The sequence below is a fragment of the Homo sapiens genome, chromosome 1 (assembly GCF_000001405.40).
Source record: "Homo sapiens chromosome 1, GRCh38.p14 Primary Assembly".
In the NCBI taxonomy this organism is placed as follows: domain Eukaryota; kingdom Metazoa; phylum Chordata; class Mammalia; order Primates; family Hominidae; genus Homo; species Homo sapiens.
Genome location: NC_000001.11, coordinates 34457415 through 34479099, shown reverse-complemented (window position 1 = coordinate 34479099; position 21685 = coordinate 34457415). Strand labels below are relative to the sequence as shown.

Sequence of the window (21685 nt, the reverse complement as noted above, 5' to 3'; positions counted from 1 at the left end):
TATTTTGCAATGCAGCAAGCTCATATTATCCTTTCCTGCTTCTGTTCCATCAGAGTGGAGAAGGCCTGGTCTATCTCCTGCCTCTGGGACCATGTCTGCATTAGCCAGCGTTTCCTGTGGCAACAACCTCCACCCACTCCTGCCAAATCTCAATGCCTTACAACAGTGAGCCTTTATTTCCTGCTCCCATTATGTGAGAGCTGCTGGTCAGCAGGAGCTGTCCTTGGTTCTTCTGGGATCTGCTGGGCCTGGCTCAGCACCATGGGTCTTCTCTTATTCCAGGACCCCAGCTGAAGGGGCAGCCCACATATGCAGCATGCTGTTCTTGTGGCAGAGGGCAGAAGCTCAAGGGAGAAAGAGCTCAACCAGAAAGCACATTGAAAGGCTCTGCTCAGATGTGGAGTGAGTCCCCCCAGTGGGACACCACTGGGTAAAGCAAGTCACGTGGCTCAGCCCAACATCAAAGGAGCAGGAAGTAGGGCGGCTTACAGGGAAGCTAGGGAACAGACAATTACCAACAAAGAATAGAAGCTGCTACAATGCCCAGACAATCCCAGACTGGAGTCAGCCTTTTTCTAGGACTCTTGTTATTTCACTTTTGAACTATTATCTGAAAGAACAACAGTGTGTGCAAGTTTGCAGTCAGCAAGACATGGGTTGAAATCTGAGTTTTTCAGTTTCCTAGCTATGTGGCTTCAGGATGGGGAGTTAACCTCTCTGAGTCTCAGTTTCTGCATCTGTAAAGTGGCAATACTAACACTGATTTCACGTGGTTGCTATAAGGATCACAGGAATATATAGTGCTAGGCACATAGTAGGCACTCAGCAAGTCGCAGTTATTAACCCTGTTGTATATTAAAATGAGTAAATTATTTTTGTCAAAGTAAATAAGTAAGATATAGCTTTCCTGTCTCCTGATTTTTCTACTTACGCAATCCGGGTCATAATAATTGGCCAGGTGATGTGGGGGAACAATAATAGCAAATGTTAACAGTTAAATGGCACTTACTGTGTGTGAGATACTATTTAAGGGCTTTAAATATTCTAACTTACTTAATCCTCACAAGCCTATGAAATACTGGTACTCTTATCCACATATTACTGATTATGGAACTGAGCCCAGAGGAACACAGAAGGAGGTTCAGTGGCTTATTCATGGCTGTATAGCTTCCTAGCAGCAGAGCCAGGATTTGAACCCAAGTAGCTCAGCTGAAAGCTCATGTTCTTAGCCATTGTGCTATGGGGCCTCTGAGCTTTTTAGTAGCCAGTGTTTAGACAGGGATGGTGAAGAGCTGTGTGACTGTGGCTATGATGCTTAAGCCTGGTTTGTTGGGCGGAAAGAAAATCTGGTGAGTGACCTGGATTTAATACCTACTTGGACATGAAATAAAGGAGCCCTTGGAGGCAAAGGCAAGATTTAGAATCCATGGGACAGCCCCTAGTCAATTAGCATGGAACGTGATTCTAGGTATGTGTGTGGGAGAGTGAGGTGGGTTTTCTGGAGTGGAGGGTGACTCTGTTTCTTCCATTCAAATGCCCCAGGCCTTGCTCTCCAGCTAGGTCAGCCACCCTTTGGGAGGCAGGTCTTTGAGATTCCAGCGTCTGACAATACTGTGACTACTCTGTCCATTTCTGCACATAAGGCAGTAGGATGGAAATTTCTCTGGGGAGCATCTTCACTGCCCTTTCCCAAGGCAGATGAAAACATTTTCATCCCAACAGACCCATGGTCGCTCTGACACCTGCAGCAAAGGGGAGAGCTGATAACACTGCAAGTGATGCTATAGCCGGTGAACTTACACATCATCTTCTCCTGTTACGCCAAGAGCTGACCGCCAACTCACAGCCCTAGCAACTGAGGATAAAAATGGCAGCAAACGTCTGCCTGAGTCTGAGCCTTTAAATGAGGCCAGCCCACACTCTCACACCCACGGGACCTTTAACAGGGTGCTCTGGGCATCCTGGCCTTGTTGACAGCAGAAGTTCTTAACCTGCTGGCATCAACTCACTGTTTCTTACCTTTTGCTCTGCATCTTTGTTTGCTCAGCTCCTCACATTTTTTTTTTTTGTTTTTTGAGACAGGGTCTCACTCTGTCCCCCAGGCCAGAGTGCAGTGGCGCCATCTCGGCTCACTGTAAACCTTGCCTTTGGGGTTCAAGAGATTCTCCTGCTTCAGCCTCCCGAATAGCTGGGACTACAGGTGCGCACCACTACACCTAGCTAATTTTTGTATTTTTAGTAGAGATGGGGTCTATTGCCCAGGCTGATCTCAAACTCCTCACCTCAGGTGATCCACCCACTTCGGCTTCCCAAAGTGCTAGGATTACAGGCGTGAGCCAGTGTGCCTGGTCTCCTCACATGTTTTTTAACTTCAAGATCCAAAACCACATTTACCCCTTAAGTGTAAGGACTGTTTGGGCTTTATTTGATTTGATTCATGAGTGTGGTTTTGGAGTCACCTTCAGGATCTAGCCCCAAGCATCAGCCTGCTTTGTCAGAACCCCTGGGCTGGCTTGGGCCTCATGGGGGCCAAACACTGCTCAACCCTGAGTCAGTCATTGTTCTTGGATTTCACTGAGGTCTCCTTTGGTCATTGGTAACGTGGGAAACAGGGCCTGGACTTCATGCCAATCAATGTAGAAATAGCATTAGCTCAACGTCATTCCTTTGAGCATTGCTGTGCCCACTCTCACTCCCACCTCAAGACTAGAAAAGGACTTGGTTGGAAGGAATCATCTGGATGTTTTCTGGCAGAAGATGCTTTCTTCCTACTTGGTAGACCCAGTTGTCAAGAGTAGAGTCCGTGCCTGCTCCTACTGTGTCACCTGCCCAGTCCTTGAGCCAGTGAGGGCCCAGCCCAGCCTTAAAGGCCATCAGGAGTTCCTTGTCCACTAGTCAGTCAGGTCTTCAAATAATCAGTTGCCCTTACATCCAGTGTGCCCAGTGCACGGGGTATTTAGCCCCTGGGTACCCAGGGAGGCATCAGGCTGCCACCTCAGTAGCTTGCACCTTGAGTCTAACTGCCCTCGGTTCTGCTCCGTTGTTCCTAATTTTGCCCCAGGGCTTGTTGTCTAGTCCTAGAAGCCAGCCCCATTGTTCAAGCCCCTTGCGTCTCTTTCTTATATACCTTGCATTGTATATACAGGATATACCATCTCCCTGACCTGCATATTGCTTCTGCTAGCCCTCCCACTAACGTAGAGTCCCCTTTCAAATCTATGACTCAGATACTTATCAGATGCCAAAAAGTGCAGTCATCTAGAAAGCCCACCCAGACCCCTAGAATGTAATATTAAATGAATCAGACTCCACTTGACTCCAGCTCTTGGATTTAATGGTTTGGGCTGCCAGCCTCTTCCTCCAGGGAGCCAGCTGTCTTGTCCTAGGTGATTACTGTAAGAAGAGTCTCAGTAAGCTCTTCTTCCCCAAACACGGGCTTTTGGAATCTCACGGCCCTGCCAAGACATGTAGTTATATCATTTCCTGAGATGGGGCCTTTCTTGGATTATTAAATTGTCAGAGCTAACAAGAATGAAACATCAGGTCTTGCCCATCAGACTGGCAAAAATGAACATGATTAGCAATGGATAGAAAGGGTATAAGGAAACAGACGCTCTCAGACAGCATTCATGAAAGGGTACATTAGCACACATTTTTCCTTTTTTGGAGGGCAGCTTGAAAATATGTATCAAAATTTTTACCTCGACAATTTTTCTTCTAGGAATTTATCAAGGAGTTAATCAAATAAATTTTCAAAAATATATATGCAAAAGAATGCTCCTTCAGTAATGTTTCTGATAGCAGAAAAATGTATAGGATTTGTTAGATAATTTATGTTATATCCATACAAAGCAATACAGTACAGCTGTTAAAGAGCTTGTTATAAAGCAACATGCATTAATATGGAAAGATGTCCACACCACATTGCTGAGTAAAGAAGCAATTTGTACAATAGCTTGTCTAAGATAATCCCAGTAAACAGATGTCATAAATGTGTAGCGGGGAGGGGGAAGTATGTATACATATACGTGTATTTGCACACACATATGTGCACTTCAGGGAAGCCACGGTCTAGCAGTTATGGTAGGCACATACAAAAAAGACAATTATGGAATCGCATGGCATAGAGGTCACTAGAGAAATGAAAAGAGTGGTTCAAGGAAGTCTTCCCAAACAGAGTGACAGCTAAACTGAGAACTGTAGGACAATTGCGAGGTTGTCAGGGGAAGACACAGAGATCCTAGTAAATGGTTGGGTCCAAAGCATAGCTATGACCTAGGCGTGGAGAGTCTTCAGGTCTAACCACGAAGATCACTGGCCACAAGCTACAGAGGCTGCAGGAAGCATCATTGAAATGAGTCACATAGTTGGACCACTGGGCAAAAGGTAGACTTGGGCGGGGGGAGGGGAGCATTGAACTTTGACCCCATGCCCATTTTGTGAGGCACAGAAAGGCTCCACCTTTTTCAAACAACTTTCAAAGTTCTCCTTCCCTCGCCTGCCCTGCTGTGCCCTGAAGCAAAATGACACTTGGTCACACAATCCATTCCATAGTTAAACTTGCACTTTATTAAAATTGCTCTGAATAACTCTGGGGGGAAGATTGTACCCGTCTCCATTCATCTTCAATGGCTTTTACACCCCACTCGACATAACTGTCTCCTTTGATTAAATCTCCATTAGGGCTCTGTTCCATATTCAGCAGCTCTATAAGCCAATTAACCCACCATTCCATAGGTTAGGACAAAGAGCAGTGCTTCTTCAGAGAGGGAGAGAGACAGAGAGAGAGAGAAGGAGAAAAAGAGAGAGAGAGAGAGGAGAGGGGAAGGGAGGGAGGAAGAGTAATACAGCAAGAGAAACTTATCTCCCCTGCCACTGCTACAGCTAATCAGTGTTTATCATTATACTCTCATTTCCCCACATTTAATCTAAAGGAGATGGGAGGGACGTTGCCAGCAAGATGCAACGTCAGGCCTGGAAAGTCCATGCTTGGCTTATTCATTATGCCAGACTCCATAGATGACAAGATGCAATTTCTTTTCTTCTTCTTCTTCTTTTTTTTTTTTTTTTTTTTTTTGATAGTGACAGAGTCTCACTATCACCAGGGCTGACCTTGAACTTCTGGACTCAAGCAATCTTTCCACCTCAGCTTCCCAAAATACTGGAATTACAAGTGTGAGCCACCACACCTGGCCGAGATGCAATTTCTTAAGCTGAATAGTGTTTGGGAGTGCTCAAACCTCTCAATGCCTTCCTCATCTTGATCAACCAGAATCCCCAAGGATGCATACCCCTAGGTTCAGCCCCTCCAGACCCTGCCCAAGTCTGCATGTTAGAAGGCCATCTCCACTAGTGTGAATCTAGTCTAGTCTCATGGCTCTAAGCCTGGCTCCAATGGGTGTGGAGGCAGGGCCTGGCTGTTCACAAATCCTCATTGTTCCCTACCCACAAACTACCCCCCTCATCTCCACTTACTGGAATATGTTATAGGATTGACTTCTGTCTGGAGACTTGGCCAACATTTGAATCCTCTTTAAGGGCTGGAGCTCCTACATGCCTTTGATTCACCAGCTGGTCATCAGAGATCCTATCCCCTACCTGGTTCTGCTAGTTCCTTTCCCTGGGGTATGGCCCCAGTGGATGAAGTTCTTCCCTGAAGAGACAACATCAGTCCACATTTTGGTGTTGCCTGAAGCTGGAAAATCCAGCTGATTCCCAGGGCCCCATTGACTGAGTACATGCACACCACTTATGTGGGACCCTAAAAGTCCCAACTACCTGGATCCATGGCTGGACTGAATGAAGTGAACTTGAACAAGGATTCATGTCAGGCCTGTTCTGAGCCCAGATGCTCACAATTAGGGTGCAGTGGCTCAGAGTTGAAAGGCAGAGGTAGGATTGGAGGTCAGCACAAGCCCAGGATGAGAGAATAAGCTGATTCAAAACTTGAGTCCATCCACAGGGTTTTGCTGTCACACATACCTAACTTTCCATCTCAGCTCTGTTGCACACCAGCTGACGAGCAGAAAGGATCTGCTCATCCCAGTCTGCCCACCTCATATAGGGATAATGGGGGCAGAAAATACCTAGCAGGCTGTCCAGACCTCTCTGCTCTCTAGCAATTGGCCTTGGGAAGATGCTTTCTGCTGTTTTCATATAGAAGTGAGGTTTTAAGGAAGCCACAGGGCCCACAGGGCGGTGGCACATCAGGTGAATCTCCTCCAGCGTTCTGCAAGGGGCTGGGTAGAAGGGGCTGGCATGGGCATCTGGAATCCTTCAGCCTAGTCCTCTGGCTCGGTGATGAAAGCCCAACCACTGTTCTCAGACCAGCAGGGATAGTCTATCCCTCCTGGGTCACCCAGCCTTTTCCCAGGCCATCCTCCCTTGATTCACACAGACTTGCCTACCAAGGCGGGGCTCTGCTCCTGCTTTGCTGGTCACCTCTGCTCTGCCCCCGATTCCTCTTCCTGGACCAGGGTTCTTGAGACCCTGAACATTTCTACAGGTGGGGGCTTGTGCATGACACTGTCCCTGAGGCTTGGGAATTTTTGACCTTTCACTGGGATAGGCTAGAGGAACCCCTCTGCCATCTTAGTGTTTGCTCTCCCCACCCCCCACTTTCCTTTCAGAACTGATGGGTCCCAAATATCATATGCTCATCCCCTGTGGCTCAAGTCAACCTCCTCCTGGGATCCATTCTATTTGCTGTGGCTGCCCATGAAACCAGTGAGCTCAGAGGAAGCATTAGTATAAGTACAGCTTCTGGAATGAAGGAGGTAACTCTCTCCAAGCTGAGCCTTTGTGCTTGTGGAGGGTGTGTGGTATTTAGTCTTGGAAGCCACCAAAGGAAGAGCAAGACAGACAAGCCCAGTGCACATGGTGAGGGTATTGGGGAGTGGAGAGTGGGGGCAGGGTTGCACAGGGTTTTGCTGTCACACACACCTAACTTTCCATCTCAGCTCTGTTGCACACCAGCTATAGGATTTGGGGAAGTTAATTAATCCCTTTGAGCCTTGGTATTCCCAGCCATAAAATGGGAAGAACAACGTCTGCTTCAGAGGGTTGTAGATCAGATGAGAATATGTACATTATGTGGCACTCGGTAAGCGTTTGATAAATGATAGCCATTACAGTGAGGGTGGCAGAAAGACTCAAAACCAGTTTTATTAGAAATGTTTGGGAGGACCGGGATGATCAACCTAGAAAAGTCTAGGGGAGATGTGATGGGGATTTTCAAACAGTGGGACTGTGCCCAGAGAAAGCGATTAGAATTGATGGAGCGCCTGGTGTATTTGACATCTAGAGAGGATCACTCTTAACAACCCCTTCCTCTGCCCAACAAGGCTCTTCTCAGTAATAAATGTAAAATGAAACAAATGCCAATGGCCACAAAGGAAAAGCAGGCAGTGAAAATTTTCTTTTGTTAAACTTAACACATATAATCATACCAGTAAAAAATACAACAAATATTGCAGAATAAATGAGAAAAAAGTAATGGATTAATATTTTTATCATGTTAGTATAGCTTTTGAGAAAAGGGAAAACATATCTGCATTCTGTTGCAGTAATAAATAATAACATTACAGTTTTATTTTCCTGATTAACTCTTCAGTTAAAAAACAATTAGCACTTCAAAAAGAATGATGAATTTCAGTTTTAAAGATATTATTCAAATTCAATACAGATAAACTAAAAATCACACTTACTGAACAAAAAATAATTGTACCATGCAGTTCTCACTGTTTCACTGTTTTAAATTAAAAATAAAAATAAAAATTTCAAGGGCTCACATAGAATGTCAGAATTGAAGTAACTCATTTTCCGTTTTTGTTTTTTTTTTTTTGTCTTCACCATTATGATACTTATTTCAAATTTGCCATTTAAAATCAGGGATATGTAAGTACCACAGGAGGCGGAGACATGAACTGTGCTTGAAACAAACTGGAAGAGATTCAAATCTTAAGAATTTACTCTTGAAACGAGCATTTATAGCTGAGTTTGCATGTGTTGGGGCCAGTTGTATAACTGGGACTTCTCCAAATTAGTGCCCATGTAGAATACAATGTCATTAAAGGATAAGTAATAAAAATGTGCCAAATGGAAGCTTATTACATCTATTATTATTATTAAAACGCGACAGTAACCATAACAATTACTTAGTACTTGACCAACAAAAGCTTTTGTTAAAGAGGAGTATTTTATCACTAACATTGTTTAGAGCTGCCAGAGAATGATGGTAATAATAAAAAGCAGACTGGCTTTTAGTCTGTTTTATTATTGTTTTCACATTCTCTACAGACAACATTCCCTCTATTTTCTGCACCTGGGGGGACTGCTCCCCAAAGCCACCGTTGATGTGCTCTGATTAAAGGGGTGACCCCGATGAAAAGCAGAGCTCAGTTGGGGCTCAGCGTAGGGGAGAGTGTTCCAACTGCCAGAGCTCTCCAAGATGGACTGGCCTGCCTCCGGAGGTAGTAAATCTCCTGTCACAAAAGGTGCTCAAGCATAACATGGCCTTTAAGGTCTTTCCAACCCGAAGACTCAGTGACTCCATGAATCAGGAATGACAGAGCCTCCTTCAGTCATTGGGAGAGAGTTGGGGACTTAGCTGTGTCTGGGGCTGGTGTATCGGCTATGTTCTGCAGAGGCACAACCCCAAATTCTAGAGCCAGCTCCTTCCCCACCCCCACCCCCACAACCCCTGCTTTTACCAATAAAGGTATCACTGTCCATGGCCAGAGACTGGAAAATTCCTGGTTGCTGGTCAGAGCAAAGGGAGACCAGCTGGAGTGTCCTGCGGGGCCATCATAAAGAAGATGGTTAGTGGACTTTCCTGGATGTTACCTCTTCTCTGGCTTAAGTCCTCCCCTCTGTCTGGTGCTCCTCCTGACAGCCCGGGGAGGGCTGGTGTGTTTCCTGCTGTTTGCATCTCAGAGGGATGAAGCAATTTTGGAGGAGTATTGACCCTAAATTCTAGTCATGCTTTAATCCCCCTGTGGGAGGTTCCCATTATCTCTTTAGTGTAAAACACATTATTAATGGATTATGCTTTCACCAAGTAAAGGTCTTTTTAGAAATGATTTTAAGAATCCCAACCTGGATTTTCTTTTCAGAAATACTACTTTCATGGCTCTGGCTATGAACATCAGCATATAGAGAATGGATCACTACCAAAGAAGGCACCCGAATGTGTCTGTCTCATCCTGGGGAAACTCATTCATCTGTATATGTACTCAGCAAGTGTTTCCTGGCACCTGCTCTGGGTCACAGTGCTGGGCACTGGAAGCTGAGAGATGTGGAAGAAGGCTGGACATTCAAGGTATGCACCCACACCTGCCTAGGGGACTCGTACCTGCAAACAAACAAAAGATCACAGTGCAAGCTGACAAATACTCTGATAGAGGTGTGGGAAGAAATGCTCCAGGAGCTCAGTGGATTGGTGAAGTTTGCTTCATTCATTTAAGCAAATAAAAATGGGTTCTGGATACATTCAGCAAAAGATGATTTGGAAGGCAAGAAAGATCTTGATCACCAAGCTTATGTGCTTGATCTTGTGCTATCCAGAGGGCTTCTGGCTAATTCATTGAACTTAAAGATGAGAGATATAATTTTCTTTTACAAAAAGACAAGTTTTCCAAATTTGCTGACCTTTCCAATGATGACAGGTAGCTGTTGCTATTAGATATTTTTGAAAAAGTAAACATCTGTAATCTGCCCTTTCAAGGTAAAGGCGATATTTTTTTAACAATGAGTGAGAAAGGAACTGTTTTTTGAAACAGGTTTGTGTGCACAAAAGGAAGAACATTTTAAAATGGATGTTTGAAGTGTTTCCACCATTACATGATCCTATTGCCTAAAATTTTGTCAGGGTGTCACTTATAAAAATTGTTATATCTGTGTTCTATAAAAACTTGGAAACAAAATTTCCTAAAGTGTTAAAAAATCTCCTACATAAAAAAACCTGGAGGACTTTGTACACATTTGTTCAAAATGTAGAAATGCTGCATCTTCCAATTCATTTGCAGAAATGAACAATTGATACGTGGAATACAGAGATCTAGTAAGCAAATGTTCACATTGTCTGTATAATTGGTAGGTGGGATTGAAAATGGGTCTAACATGTACAAAGTGCAGCCAGTAAGTATGTCTCCCACTGTGATCTCCATGTCTTTTGCATGCCTTTCAGCCTAAGTCATGAAAACCATGTACTAAATAAACATACTTTCAACTTGACCTTCAAATGATTATATCAAAAAGTGTTAAGCTAAGATTTTTAAAAGTATCAAAGCATTTATGATGAGCAAGTACATAGCTCTCATTATTTTATTTAATGGTTGAAAATTATATATATATATATAAATATAAATGTTTTATAATTTTCAACCGTATGTATCTTCAACCTTAAAATTTTCTATTTTTTGTGCAAAATTTCCATGACACTTAGCACATTACAGATATCTAATTTATAAATAAACAAATAAGCAGACATGTTTATGTTGAAGTTGCATTATCAAAAAGTTTTGATGGATGAGATGTTGATCATGAAACTGGGAAACTTCTCCTGTCCTCAATGGGGTCACCCTAAAGGAAATTAACATATGGGAGTGAGAGGACATACTTTTGTCTTAGAGAGGTGAGTTTTGCAACAGTGTGGAGAATGATTGGAATCAAGGAAACCAATGAAAAGGGTGTTTTGATAACTGGTGCCATGTGATGAGGGTCTGAATTAAGGTTGAGAAAGTGGGAAGGAAGAAGAAGCCAATTAGGAACAACTCCTCTCCATCTGCTGCACCTGCCTAAGTCACATTCTATTCATCTGTTACATCTCGTGTCTTGTCATCTACACCAGGAAGCCTTCCCTGATTTCCTAGGCTGGCGTGGGTTCCTCTCCTTTGGGCTCCAACAGCACCTGTGTTTTTTATAGTGTCGCTTTCATCACACTGTTTTGTAACTGTTTCTTTACTTGTCTGCCTGCTACTCTGTGCACCAGAAGCAGAGAGCTAGTTAGTGCCTGATTTTTGTTTCTGATTCATGGTAGGTACTTTGTCAATGCCTCTGAATGAACAATGCAGAATTTGACAAGACTGACTGGACGTTGAGGAAGTAAAGAGAGGTTGGGAATTTCCGAGATCAAATTTTCAAAATACAGAGTTGTTCTATCAGGCCCGTGGACACTTTTTCTTTGCCTTCATGTTGCTCTCAAAACTTTTTAATTAGCTGCCAACCCTAAAAATTTAGAAGGTTTCATATTAATATCTGAATTTCCAGCTTCTTTAAAAAAATCAGAGGAGCAGGAAACGCTGGGTTCATATTTCTATATGGCAGCATCAGCTGCAGTTGGTGATCTGCTGTCCCTTTTAGCTGGACATGCATGCCTCCCTGCAACCCAGTACTCTTCATTTGAGTTACTTGCCTGGCCTGATCAGGCATTTTAGCTAGTGATGTCTGCTTTCTGAGAGTGTGCATTTTAAAAGTGGCAATGCTTAATACAAGAAAGAAAACTACTAAGTGGGTATTTCAAGCACCTGAAGAGAAAATATTTTATGGAAAGGGAGCTTTCTGCTCCCTAAAAATTATACGATAGAGATGATCATTTGTAGATCAAACAAATCTGCGTATCAGCCTCCCAAGGAGTCTACTCCTTTTCATTTGTAACTAGCCCTGCCTCTCACAGAGCCTTCAAAGTAAACATTGCTTCCTCCCTCCTAAAGAGAGGTAGCTTTACATCCTTTCTCTCTGACAAAGTGAGCTGGTCACTTTTTGAATCCTTTCATGGCACTGGATCTCCTAACTTCAGGATTCCCTTGCTTTCATCCCAAAATAAGAGAACCAAGGTCAAGGAACAGAGAAGACTGTCTCCCTTCTCATTCTCAGTTCCAGGGAATTCTGTCCCAGTCTGGGTTTTCCCAAAAGCAGAGCTTGAGTCATGGCATATGTATATGAGTATTTTAGTGAGGGATATGATGCCAGAGAAGAAAAAGATAGGGGAAAGGCGGCAGGGAAAAGAGAGTCAATATAAAGATACGTTATTAGGCTGACCACTACTATGGTTGACTAGTTGGTTGATCCCCCAAGACCATCACCAAGCCATGTGAAATGTGATTAAGACCATCTGACTAGAGATAGAAAGAGGGAAGTATTTATACATTATCTTCTTGTTATTCATTGCTCAAAAGTTGGCCTCACGGGACATTATTAACTCTGCCACACTTCTAGGTTACACCTGCCTAGGTACTGAGTGCATTTCCACAGTAGCCCACACTGCAGCATCAACAGAGAACCTCAGGATGGGAGGCAAAAAGTGCATGGCATAGGCTCAGGGTAAGGCACTCTTAAGTTGCTCTGTGTAAAGCTGAGTGGGGTTCTGTGGGAGGTTGAGATAAATGAAATCTCGTCTGTGGACTACCCTGTGACAGACAACTGGAGGGTCAGCATGGTCCCAGCACAAGCAAAGGCATGCTGTTGTCCTTCCCATGTAAAGATAAACTGCTTTTGATCATCCTAACTGATAAATATCCAGAATAATGTATTTGACAAATTAATAATCACATACAAATACTAGATAATATATTGATCTGCTCAGTAAAGATACTGCATGGCAGCTGGGATTGGGACTCCCAGCTTGTTAAGTATAGGGCTGTTCACGTTGATCTGCCATGATCCATTTTCTTGAGAAAGTAGAATTGCAGAGGAGGACGTCTTTACATTTTTGTGGTGGCATTGATCTCTGCAATTCCTCCAAGGGTGCAGAAGAGCATCTGATTTACTACTGTATTGGGATACTGGAGTTATATATCAAGGCTTTTTTATGGGCGAGATAGATAGAGAGATAACCAAGTATGGCTTCATTTGTATAAATTTAGGGGCTTCCACTTCATCCTTATTACAGTAATGACAGTTTATAGGCTATAGAGGAAAAATGTCCCTGAGCCTTCTGACCCCTTCCTTGATACTATGCCAAGGCAATCCCAGAATTTTTGTCTCATTTATTACAGGCTATGGTGATGTCCAAGCTCCAAGTAGTCATTCCAGTAGGTTGTTAGGAGGGGCTCCACCAGTCCTTTCAGAATATTGAACTCCAAGTTATAGCTAAGTTCCCCCATGTCAACAAATTCTCTGCTATTCCACCTTATATTCTAATACCCCCTACAGTCTAATACCTTTGAGATCCAATTCCACACATGTCCCCCAGATTCCTGCTTATACATGTAATCTGGGCCCTGATATTTTCTTTTCTTTTTTTCTTTCTTTCTTTTTTTTTTTTTCTGAGATGGAGTTTTTTGCTCTCGTCACTCAGGCTGGAGTGCAATGGCGCAATCTCGGCTCACTGCAACCTCTGCCTCCCAGGTTCAAGTGATTCTCCTGCTTCAGCCTCCCGAGTAGTTGGAACTACAGGTGTATGCCAGCATGCCCAGCTAATTTTTGTATTTTTAGTAGAGACGGGGTTTCACCATGTTGGCCGGGCTGGTCTCGAACTCCTGACCTCAGGTGATCCACCCGCCTTGGCCTCCTAAAGTGCTGGGATTACAGGTGTGAGCCACCGTGCCCGGCCCCTTGATATTTTCTCCAGGAGCAGGGTCTGCACTTACAGAGGCTGTGCTGAGACCTGACCCTCGTTATTGGTCTGAAGCTAATGAGGGGTGGAAGGGACAGATATTTAGAAGGACAAGCCATGTTTTGCAAGCACCTGCCTCAGGGGAGGCTATTGCAGGACCTCCAGACTGGAGAAACTGTTCTCCTGAGACAAGGGAAGAGGGAGACCTCTGCCAGCCTAGAGAGTTAAGGCAAATCTGGAGGTTTAAGAGTTCCACGTTTTTCCATTCAAAAGCTCCCATCCCACATTGCAAGATTTCACGCCTTTTCCGTCAGGCCTTGATTTTGATGCAGAAGACCTATTGAAGCTGTACATTCTATTTCCTTTGTAACACTTGTCACCCTTTCAATGAGATCCTGGCCAGGTTTTGGCCCAGTCTCTCTCATGGCTACAGGAAATCAAAGTCACTTCAAAGCTTCCATAAAGGCCTTCTGGTTTTCACAGCATAGCCTGAATATACAGTTGGAGATCTTGTGCCTTTTGTTCTCTCATTTCAAGGTGTTTAGTGCAGTTAACAAAAGGCCACCCCACTCTAATCTGTGTAATTATTATTGTCTCTGCACATTCAATTACCGTAACCACCGTAACCCACACCTCACCTTCCAACTAGCTCTTCATCTCCGTCAGCCTCAGGCGGAAGTCTTAGTTATCAGAATGCCACTGGGTGTCAGGGGGTCAGTGCCCCTCTACTTCTCACTGATGCCAGGGTCCTTATTGCCATTGACTGGCGAGTGATCAAGCCCTAAGATCCCATCCTGAGGGGCTGAGTTCCAGGCCACTGTGGGAAACAACCATCTTAGGCTGGCACCCTTGAAAGCAGAGCCTGAGACAAAGGCTTATATACAAGCACTTTTTTGGGACTATGATCCCAGGGAGCAGAAGTGAAGGACAAGTGAGTGGAGCCAGGCAGGAGAGCAAGCCAGTGCAAAGATGCATTAACCTGGCTACGGTCATAAGCAACTGGTCGCTCAGTCCCACAAGACCATCTGAAAAGTCCTCTGAAATGTGTCTCAGCCAACACACTTAGAGGCAGAAGAGGGACATTTATCTACTGATTGCTGTCACCCATGGGTCACAGCATTGCCTCAAGGATATCGATTCCCCTGCACCTCCTGGTTGTGCATGTGTGGGGTGCTGGGAAAGTTTCCCATGGTATCACACACCAAGGCATCAGAGAGACGCTCAAGGGAGATAGCCAAGAGGTGCACAGTGGGGCTTGAGCCAGGAACTGTCAATGTGTACCTGCATAAAGCTGGCCAAAGCCTATGCCTACCTGGTCACAGCAGCAGAGGCCATGATTGGAGACAGACAAGGCCAGGAGGATCTGAAGTAGAGCACAGAGGTGTCTGTAAGATCAGCTTGGCAGGGACTTGTGTTAACTGAGCACCATCTAGACCTGGTGGGGGTACAGCAGGGAGTCATTGTATACCTATTAGGCTATGTAAATCTCCTTGAAAGGAAACATGCAAGGAAGCTTTGGGGCGTGTGTGTGTGTGTGTGTGTGTGTGTGTGTGTATTTGTGTGTCTGTGTGCTTTGTGTTGCGTATGTGTATTTGTGTGGAGAGGCAATGGCAGATGCAGGGGCCTTCAAAGGTGTACTTGCCATGTGTCTGATAGCACCATCAGAAAGATACCCACAGAGGGATGTTCATTAAGGGAGCCCCATATCCTAGTAACGAGATCACCCAATTGAAGCCAGTTAGCCAGCACAGAGAGAACCAGTCCTTATCTGCTGTTGCTGCAGCAGCAGCTGCTTTAAGAAGCTGAGTGATACTTCAGCAGTTTTCCTCCCTCCCAGATCAATAATGATAATTGGGAACAGAACCTAGCTGAGGAACATGGACAGAAGGTGGTCAGATGTTGATGCTGAACTCTTTGAAGTCCATTTCCTGGAAAGTTCTTTGGTAAGACACAAGCTCACTTCCCTGCCTCCAGCCATGCAGATACTCAAGCAGGCTGTGGACTTCTGTTTGTGCCAGACATGTGCTGGATTCTGTGGTGGGGAGAACAGGAGCAGGTGGGATCGAAGGACAAGATGCAGCCTGATAGGAGGCCCTGAACCAAAGGTCAAGAGTCATGCCTTCCCTTGAATTGGAACAAGCTCTTTTTCTGCATCAACTACCCTCTCATTGTGGAGCCCTAGGCACAATATTCTCCAATTTGGGCTTCAGTTTTCTTATCTACAAAAGGAGGGTACCGGGCTGGGTTGTCGTTTCCCACGCTATGTTCTCAGTGGCACATGAGATGCCAGTTCTCCACACTTACATGGTGCCAGAGGCTACCAATTGCTGGGAACCTCCTTTGTTCAAGACATGTGCTGAGTACACTTTGCTCCTGATCTCATTCAATGGTTACAGAAAGCTTCTGAGAGTTCTGCTATCATTTCTATTCTACAGATGAGAAGCCCGAGGCTGGTAAACTAGAGTCCAAGGGCAGAAAGCTGGTAAGTAACACAAGTAGGATTCTTCAAACTCAAGTCTGCCTAACCTCAGAGACTTAAACACTTTAACGCTATGCTAGACTGCTGTGTCAGAGTTTTGGAAGGTTACTCATGAAGTAATTGGGCAGTGTTTCCCAGTCTTCAAAAACCCACTGCCCTTTTGGTTAGATGTGGAAATCTCACACTTCCCCCCCAGCGATTCTGGTATCTCCCCCAAAGTGGAATGCTAACTTGGTGAGAATCACTGGGCCAAAACATCTCTAAAGTCCATTTAAAATCTAATAACTCAATGAGAGAGTTTGTATAAAGCACACAGTCCTTGACACATAGCAGGTCCTCAATCTCCGGCAGCTTTAGTAGTCCATGGCTGCCTGCCTCCGTAGCATCTATTTCCCCCTTCCTTCTTTACAGAGGGATCCCAAATCTCCCATTTGTCCATGTAGGTTGGATTTAACCACTTCCAGCTCAGGGGTGGGCCCTGATTGGCTGAACACTAATGACATGATCTCTCGCACCTGCACATCACATTCTTCCAGCCACAGTTCTCAGGGATGTCCATGTGACCCAAATTGGTCCAGTTAGAGAAAAATCCCAGGACTTTGTTCAAAAGCTCCTATTTTTAATAGCTTTGATTATTATATATCACCAGGTATATAATAAAAACTCCGAAGGAAAGATCTGGAAAACATTTGTGACATCATTTTTGCCCGAATGGGAGATCACAAAACCATGAGGAAATAATATGTGTCCTACAAGTTGGATAGGAAGGAATGACATAGGAAAGGTCTTTCCCCTCATCCCTCTATGTCTCTGCCTCTGCCCTCTCGCCCTCCTTACAGCTGAGCCAACCTAAATGTGCAGTCCCATCTCTCCCAAAGATCCCAGGCCAGCCGGAGCTGAATGCAAGAACTATTTAAGAAGCCTCAGCTCCTCTTCACTCCCAGGTGTGAGGGGTTAGGGGTGGGGAGTAATGATCACTCTTATCACTCTCAGATCACCTTCCAGTGTGACTCAGGGACCCAGAGCTGACCCAGAGCCCTTGAAATGTTACCAGAGTCACAGTTTATTTCCTCTCGAGACCCCAAGGTCCCTGACACCACCACCACAATGTACAACTGACCTTTAGCTTTCAGCCCTCTTGAAATAAATTCCCAGGGATTTTTCCAGTTCCCCAGAGCCTGAGGGGACTCAGGCTGGGCCTTGCCTCAGACCCTAACCCTGAACTGTACCAGGCACCTGCTGCGTATGGACTGACCTCCCTGCTGATGGAGGATGCCTGCTTGGATATCAGCAAACCTTGCCCACTGTTCCTGGGACAACCCCGAGGCTTGAACCAGGACTGGACACTGCTATGCCCTCTGTTGCTGTATTTTCTACCCTCCCCCATCTCTGAACCACTACCACCCAGTGTTTCTATATTTCTCACACCTATGGTCCTGGACTCCCCTGCCCCACCTCTGGCCCTGCAATATCTCACTATAGATAAATGAGCATGTGTCCCCACGGTGGTGGGTGATGGTGACAGGTATAACCTGCCGAGGACACACTGAGATAGGGGTGTGTTCAGGTATCCCCAGGCGAGAACATGGGCTGGTACAGGAGGGAGAAACACTTTGAAAGAAGGTGATGGATGCTGGTTCGAGGAGCTGGGTTGGGCCGCGTGGGAGCTGGTCTAAGCTGGCAGCAATTTTCCTGTTTCCCTGGCTTTAAGACCGACAAGCTTGAAACAGGGCCTGGCACAGTGGCTGGTCAGCTCGAGTGCTTTATTTTTATTTCTTATTCTCAATCAACAATTGTACTGCTTTTATTAGCAATCAGTGCTCTGACAGGAGTGCTGACGGCAAGAGACTCGGTGGTGAATCGAAGTGGTTGGCTCTCAGGCAGAGAGTTGGCTGAAAGGAGGAGGAGGAGGACTGTTATTCTAACAGGCTGAAGGGAGCAGATCCTGTGGGGCTGCCAGGTCAGGAAGCTCTGCAGGGCCCTAGGCAAGCAGGGTGGGGCTAGACGGGCTGCCTTAGCATCCACAGCCCGTTTTCCCCGAACCCTGTCCCAGCCCCCTGAGTCTCTGGCAGTCATGGCCTTAATGGGGACTCAGTTTCCTCCAAAGTCTGCAGCAGGGTGATATTTCTAGAATGATTCCTTGTTCCTTCTGCCTAGGAAGGATGAAGGCGAATGGACACATTTTGATCAGAGACCACAAAATCCTGCGAAGGCATCAGAAATGGAAGAGCTCCAGGGTGAAAAGAGCACGCTTCCATTTGGGAGCTTGGGGCCTAGATTATGGCCCAGTCCTCAGTGGCTCCATTCGCTTTTCTTTTCTTTTTGGTAGCCACAAAAAGGTTCTAAGTCTTGTTACAGCTGGAGAACCAACCACTTGGGGATCTGAGCAGAAACTCAAATTCTTGCTTTTCAGTAGAGCCATTAAAAAGAAGGAGCCTGGGCTCAGGCCCACCTCTGTCTGCATCCTGGCTCTGCCCCTCATTAGCTGCGTGACCTTGCACAGATGACTTAACTTCTCTGACCCTGGGCCCCTTTATTAGGAATGTGGAGGGTTAAGTAAGAGCCAGGAGGCAAGTTGGCAGAAGGGCCCTGGGCAGTCACGTTCAAAGACTGGCAGAAGTTCAGAGCCCCATTCTGCCACCTAGTGGTGGTATGTCCTTGGGCAAGTCGCTAAGTTACAACCTCTGGGCCTCCGTTTCTTCACCTGCAAAATGGAGCTGATGACTACCGAAACTTCCTCCTTGGGTCCTTGTGAGGGCTAAATGTCTGTGAAACACTTAGAATAGTGGCTGGCTTATAGCAAGCCCTGTCTGAGGTCAGCTAGGTTAGTAATCTAACATCATGCTTAGTATCCTAGGAGATTCGGTAGGTGTGACAGCAGCTGTGACATCATTAACTAGGAGGTTATCTGGGCTCTGCATCAGAAAGGGAGTGGCCAGCTGTCCTCATCACAATGTCTAGTAGCAATAAAGGTTTTCCTCCCGCTGCCCTGGAGTCCTCCATCACTGACTGTTAGAAATGGGGTCTTGTTGGATAAGTTGGATAGGACACGCGTTTCCAGCACTCTCTATGAAATGCCACGCTGCTACAAACCCCCCATAGCACCCACTCGGCGGCATTTACCCCACTCTCCTGTCACAGCCCATTTACTTGTCTGTCTCTCTTACTGGCCTGTGGGCAACTCGAGGGCAACATCTGTCTCAGTCACTGTGGAGAGATGGCAAAGTGTCGTGGTGAAGTGAGACAGCCAGGCCCCAGTCCTTGCTCTGCCACTTACCAGCTGTGTGGGAGCTGGTCTATGTGTCCTAACCTTCCTTTGAAGGTGCTTCTCCAAATTTCACTACGTCCACACAGTCACTTGGGAATCTTGCAGTGATTCTGATTCAGTAGGTCTGGGGTTGATCTGCATCTCCAACAAGATCCCATTTCTAACAGTAGGTGATGGAGGGCTCCACGGTTGGGGGCAGCAAATCTTTTTTTTTTTTTTTTTGCCACCAGATATTATGATGACAGCTGGCCACTTGCTGTGCCTCAGTTTCTTCATGCATAAAAAGTGCAAAATAATAGTGTCTATCTCACAGGGTTGTTGTAAATATTGAAGGATTAAATGAGCGCCAGGCAGGTGCTGAGCATTCAATCAGAGTTGGCGCCTTCTATTGTTGTGCTATTGTTGTGTTGCTGTTGTCATTGTATCTCTAGTACCCAGCCCAGTGCCAGGCACCCAGTAGACACTCCACAAACATTTATTGAATAAATAAATGACCTCAGCTGGGTGCACATCAATGTTTTTCACACCCTTGACATTGGCAAGGCTTTTTCCGATATCGAACACTGAACTCTGTTTCTGTTGTGTGACTTGAATTCCCTGGGGAAGATGAGCGATTGGGAGCAGACTCTCAATGTCCTCTGAAAAATAACCTGCCGAATGGAGAAGGCCACGTTGACCTCCATCTTTGGGGCCAGGTCAAGGAAGAAACAGGACTTTAAAAAAATATGGTGATTATGGTTTAGGGAGGCAGACCTTTAGAGTCAAGTAAGTACAATCTGGGTAAAACAAATGTTGTTCATTTGTATGTAAGGGGCAACGTTTCCATCCAGCAGGAAGATGTCCTCTTGCTCTTGAACGAGACATTGTGCTTTCAAAATTTTATTCTTTTTCATCCAGGGACAATGGCTGGAGGAAGAAATGAGAGGATCTCTATACCCAGGCCTTGGCTTCTATGTCCCTTCTCGAAGTGGTTGAAGTGCAGATTTCTGATTCTGTACCCAGCCTCCAGGGACACAGTACACAGTATGCTGGGAATGGCGGTGGGTGTTTGAGGTACATTACTTCCAGACAAAACATGGCTGCAGAGGGATACCAAAAGCATCTTCTGGTGGCTGAAGCCCTGTCTGCACAAGTGTCTGTGTTCTTCAATGGTTCAGGCAAGCTCAGACAGACCCTCTGCTTCTCTTAACCTGAGACACTAGTTTCCCCAAGAACTTTGAGCTGAAGGTTCCTTGCTGTGTCCCCTACCTGGCTGTGAGGACTTTGAGTATAATTATCCTATCTTATTTGTTGCTGTGCTCCCAGTGTCTTGGATGGAGCCTGACATCTAGTCAGTGTTAGTAAATGTTGATGTGTATTGAATTTTGCAAGGATCTGCAGCCCTGAGAAGAGGGGATACTTCTTGGAAACCTCTGTGGGCTAAATTGAGGGTTAAGGACTGGGACTGGAAGGCAGAGATTCCAGAGTGATAACCACAGTAGTTACTATTTCATGAGAGCCTCCATGTGCCAGCCTCTAAGCTAGGCCCATACCATGCATTACCTCTTGTCCCCACTTTACAGAAACTAAGGCTTAGACAAGTTAAGCAACTTGCTAAAGATCAAACAACTCAATATGTGTTGGAGTCAAATGAACGCATTTCTTTTCCATTTCCCTCATTTACTCCACTAATGACAGTACTTAAATTGTAGACTAGGAATTAAAATAGCAGAAGCCTGACTTGAGAGGGCAGAGCCCCTGCGTTTGAGTGCCTGAAAGTCAGTCATGGGTAGAAAGAACAGTCTTGTAGCAGAGCTCTGGGCAAGGGAGGAGCCGTGAGCAGGTGGACATGAACTCACTGTGACAACTCTCCAACAGTGAAAGCAGGTTCCCATGGAATCCAGGGAAATTACTGAATAACTTTCAACACAAAAATGTGTGCTAGTGAGCTGTAGAGCCTTTATATCCCCCCAAAACATATTATGGGGGTGGGGGGGGGGCGCGGAATTCTGAATTTTTGTTGTTGTTGTTGTTGTTGAGACAGAGTTTTGCTGTTGTTGCCCAGGCTGGAGTGCAATGGCACAATCTTGGCTCTCCACAACCTCCGCCTCCTGGATTCAAGCGATTCTCCTGCCCCAGCCTCCAGAGTAGGGGCTGGGATTGTAGACATGCGCCACCACGCCTGGCTAATTTTGTATTTTTAGTAGAGATAGGGTTTCTGCATGTTGATCAGGCTGGTCTCGAACTCCTGACCTCAGGTGATCCACCCGCCTTGGCCTCCCAAAGTGCTGGGATTACAGGTGTGTGCCACGGCGCCCGGCCTAAGTAAATAGTTTGGAAAGCTGCATCCAATAGTCTCTTTTGAAGATTCACAATGCACCCTAGCTTGTTAACTATTCCAAGA

At 45.5% G+C, this 21685-nt stretch overlaps 1 long non-coding RNA gene across 1 annotated transcript in view; it reads left to right on the top strand.

The window, feature by feature from the left end:
• LOC105378641 (uncharacterized) overlaps nucleotides 1-21241 on the top strand; it is a 227461-nt gene extending 206220 nt beyond the window's left edge. Inside the window, exons 6-9 of the long non-coding RNA XR_001737964.2 lie at nucleotides 9114-9319; nucleotides 15991-16037; nucleotides 16874-16978; nucleotides 20200-21241. This is a non-coding gene — a long non-coding RNA (uncharacterized LOC105378641). The remainder of the gene's footprint in view (nucleotides 1-9113; nucleotides 9320-15990; nucleotides 16038-16873; nucleotides 16979-20199) is intronic.
• The last annotated feature ends 444 nt before the right edge of the window (nucleotides 21242-21685 follow it).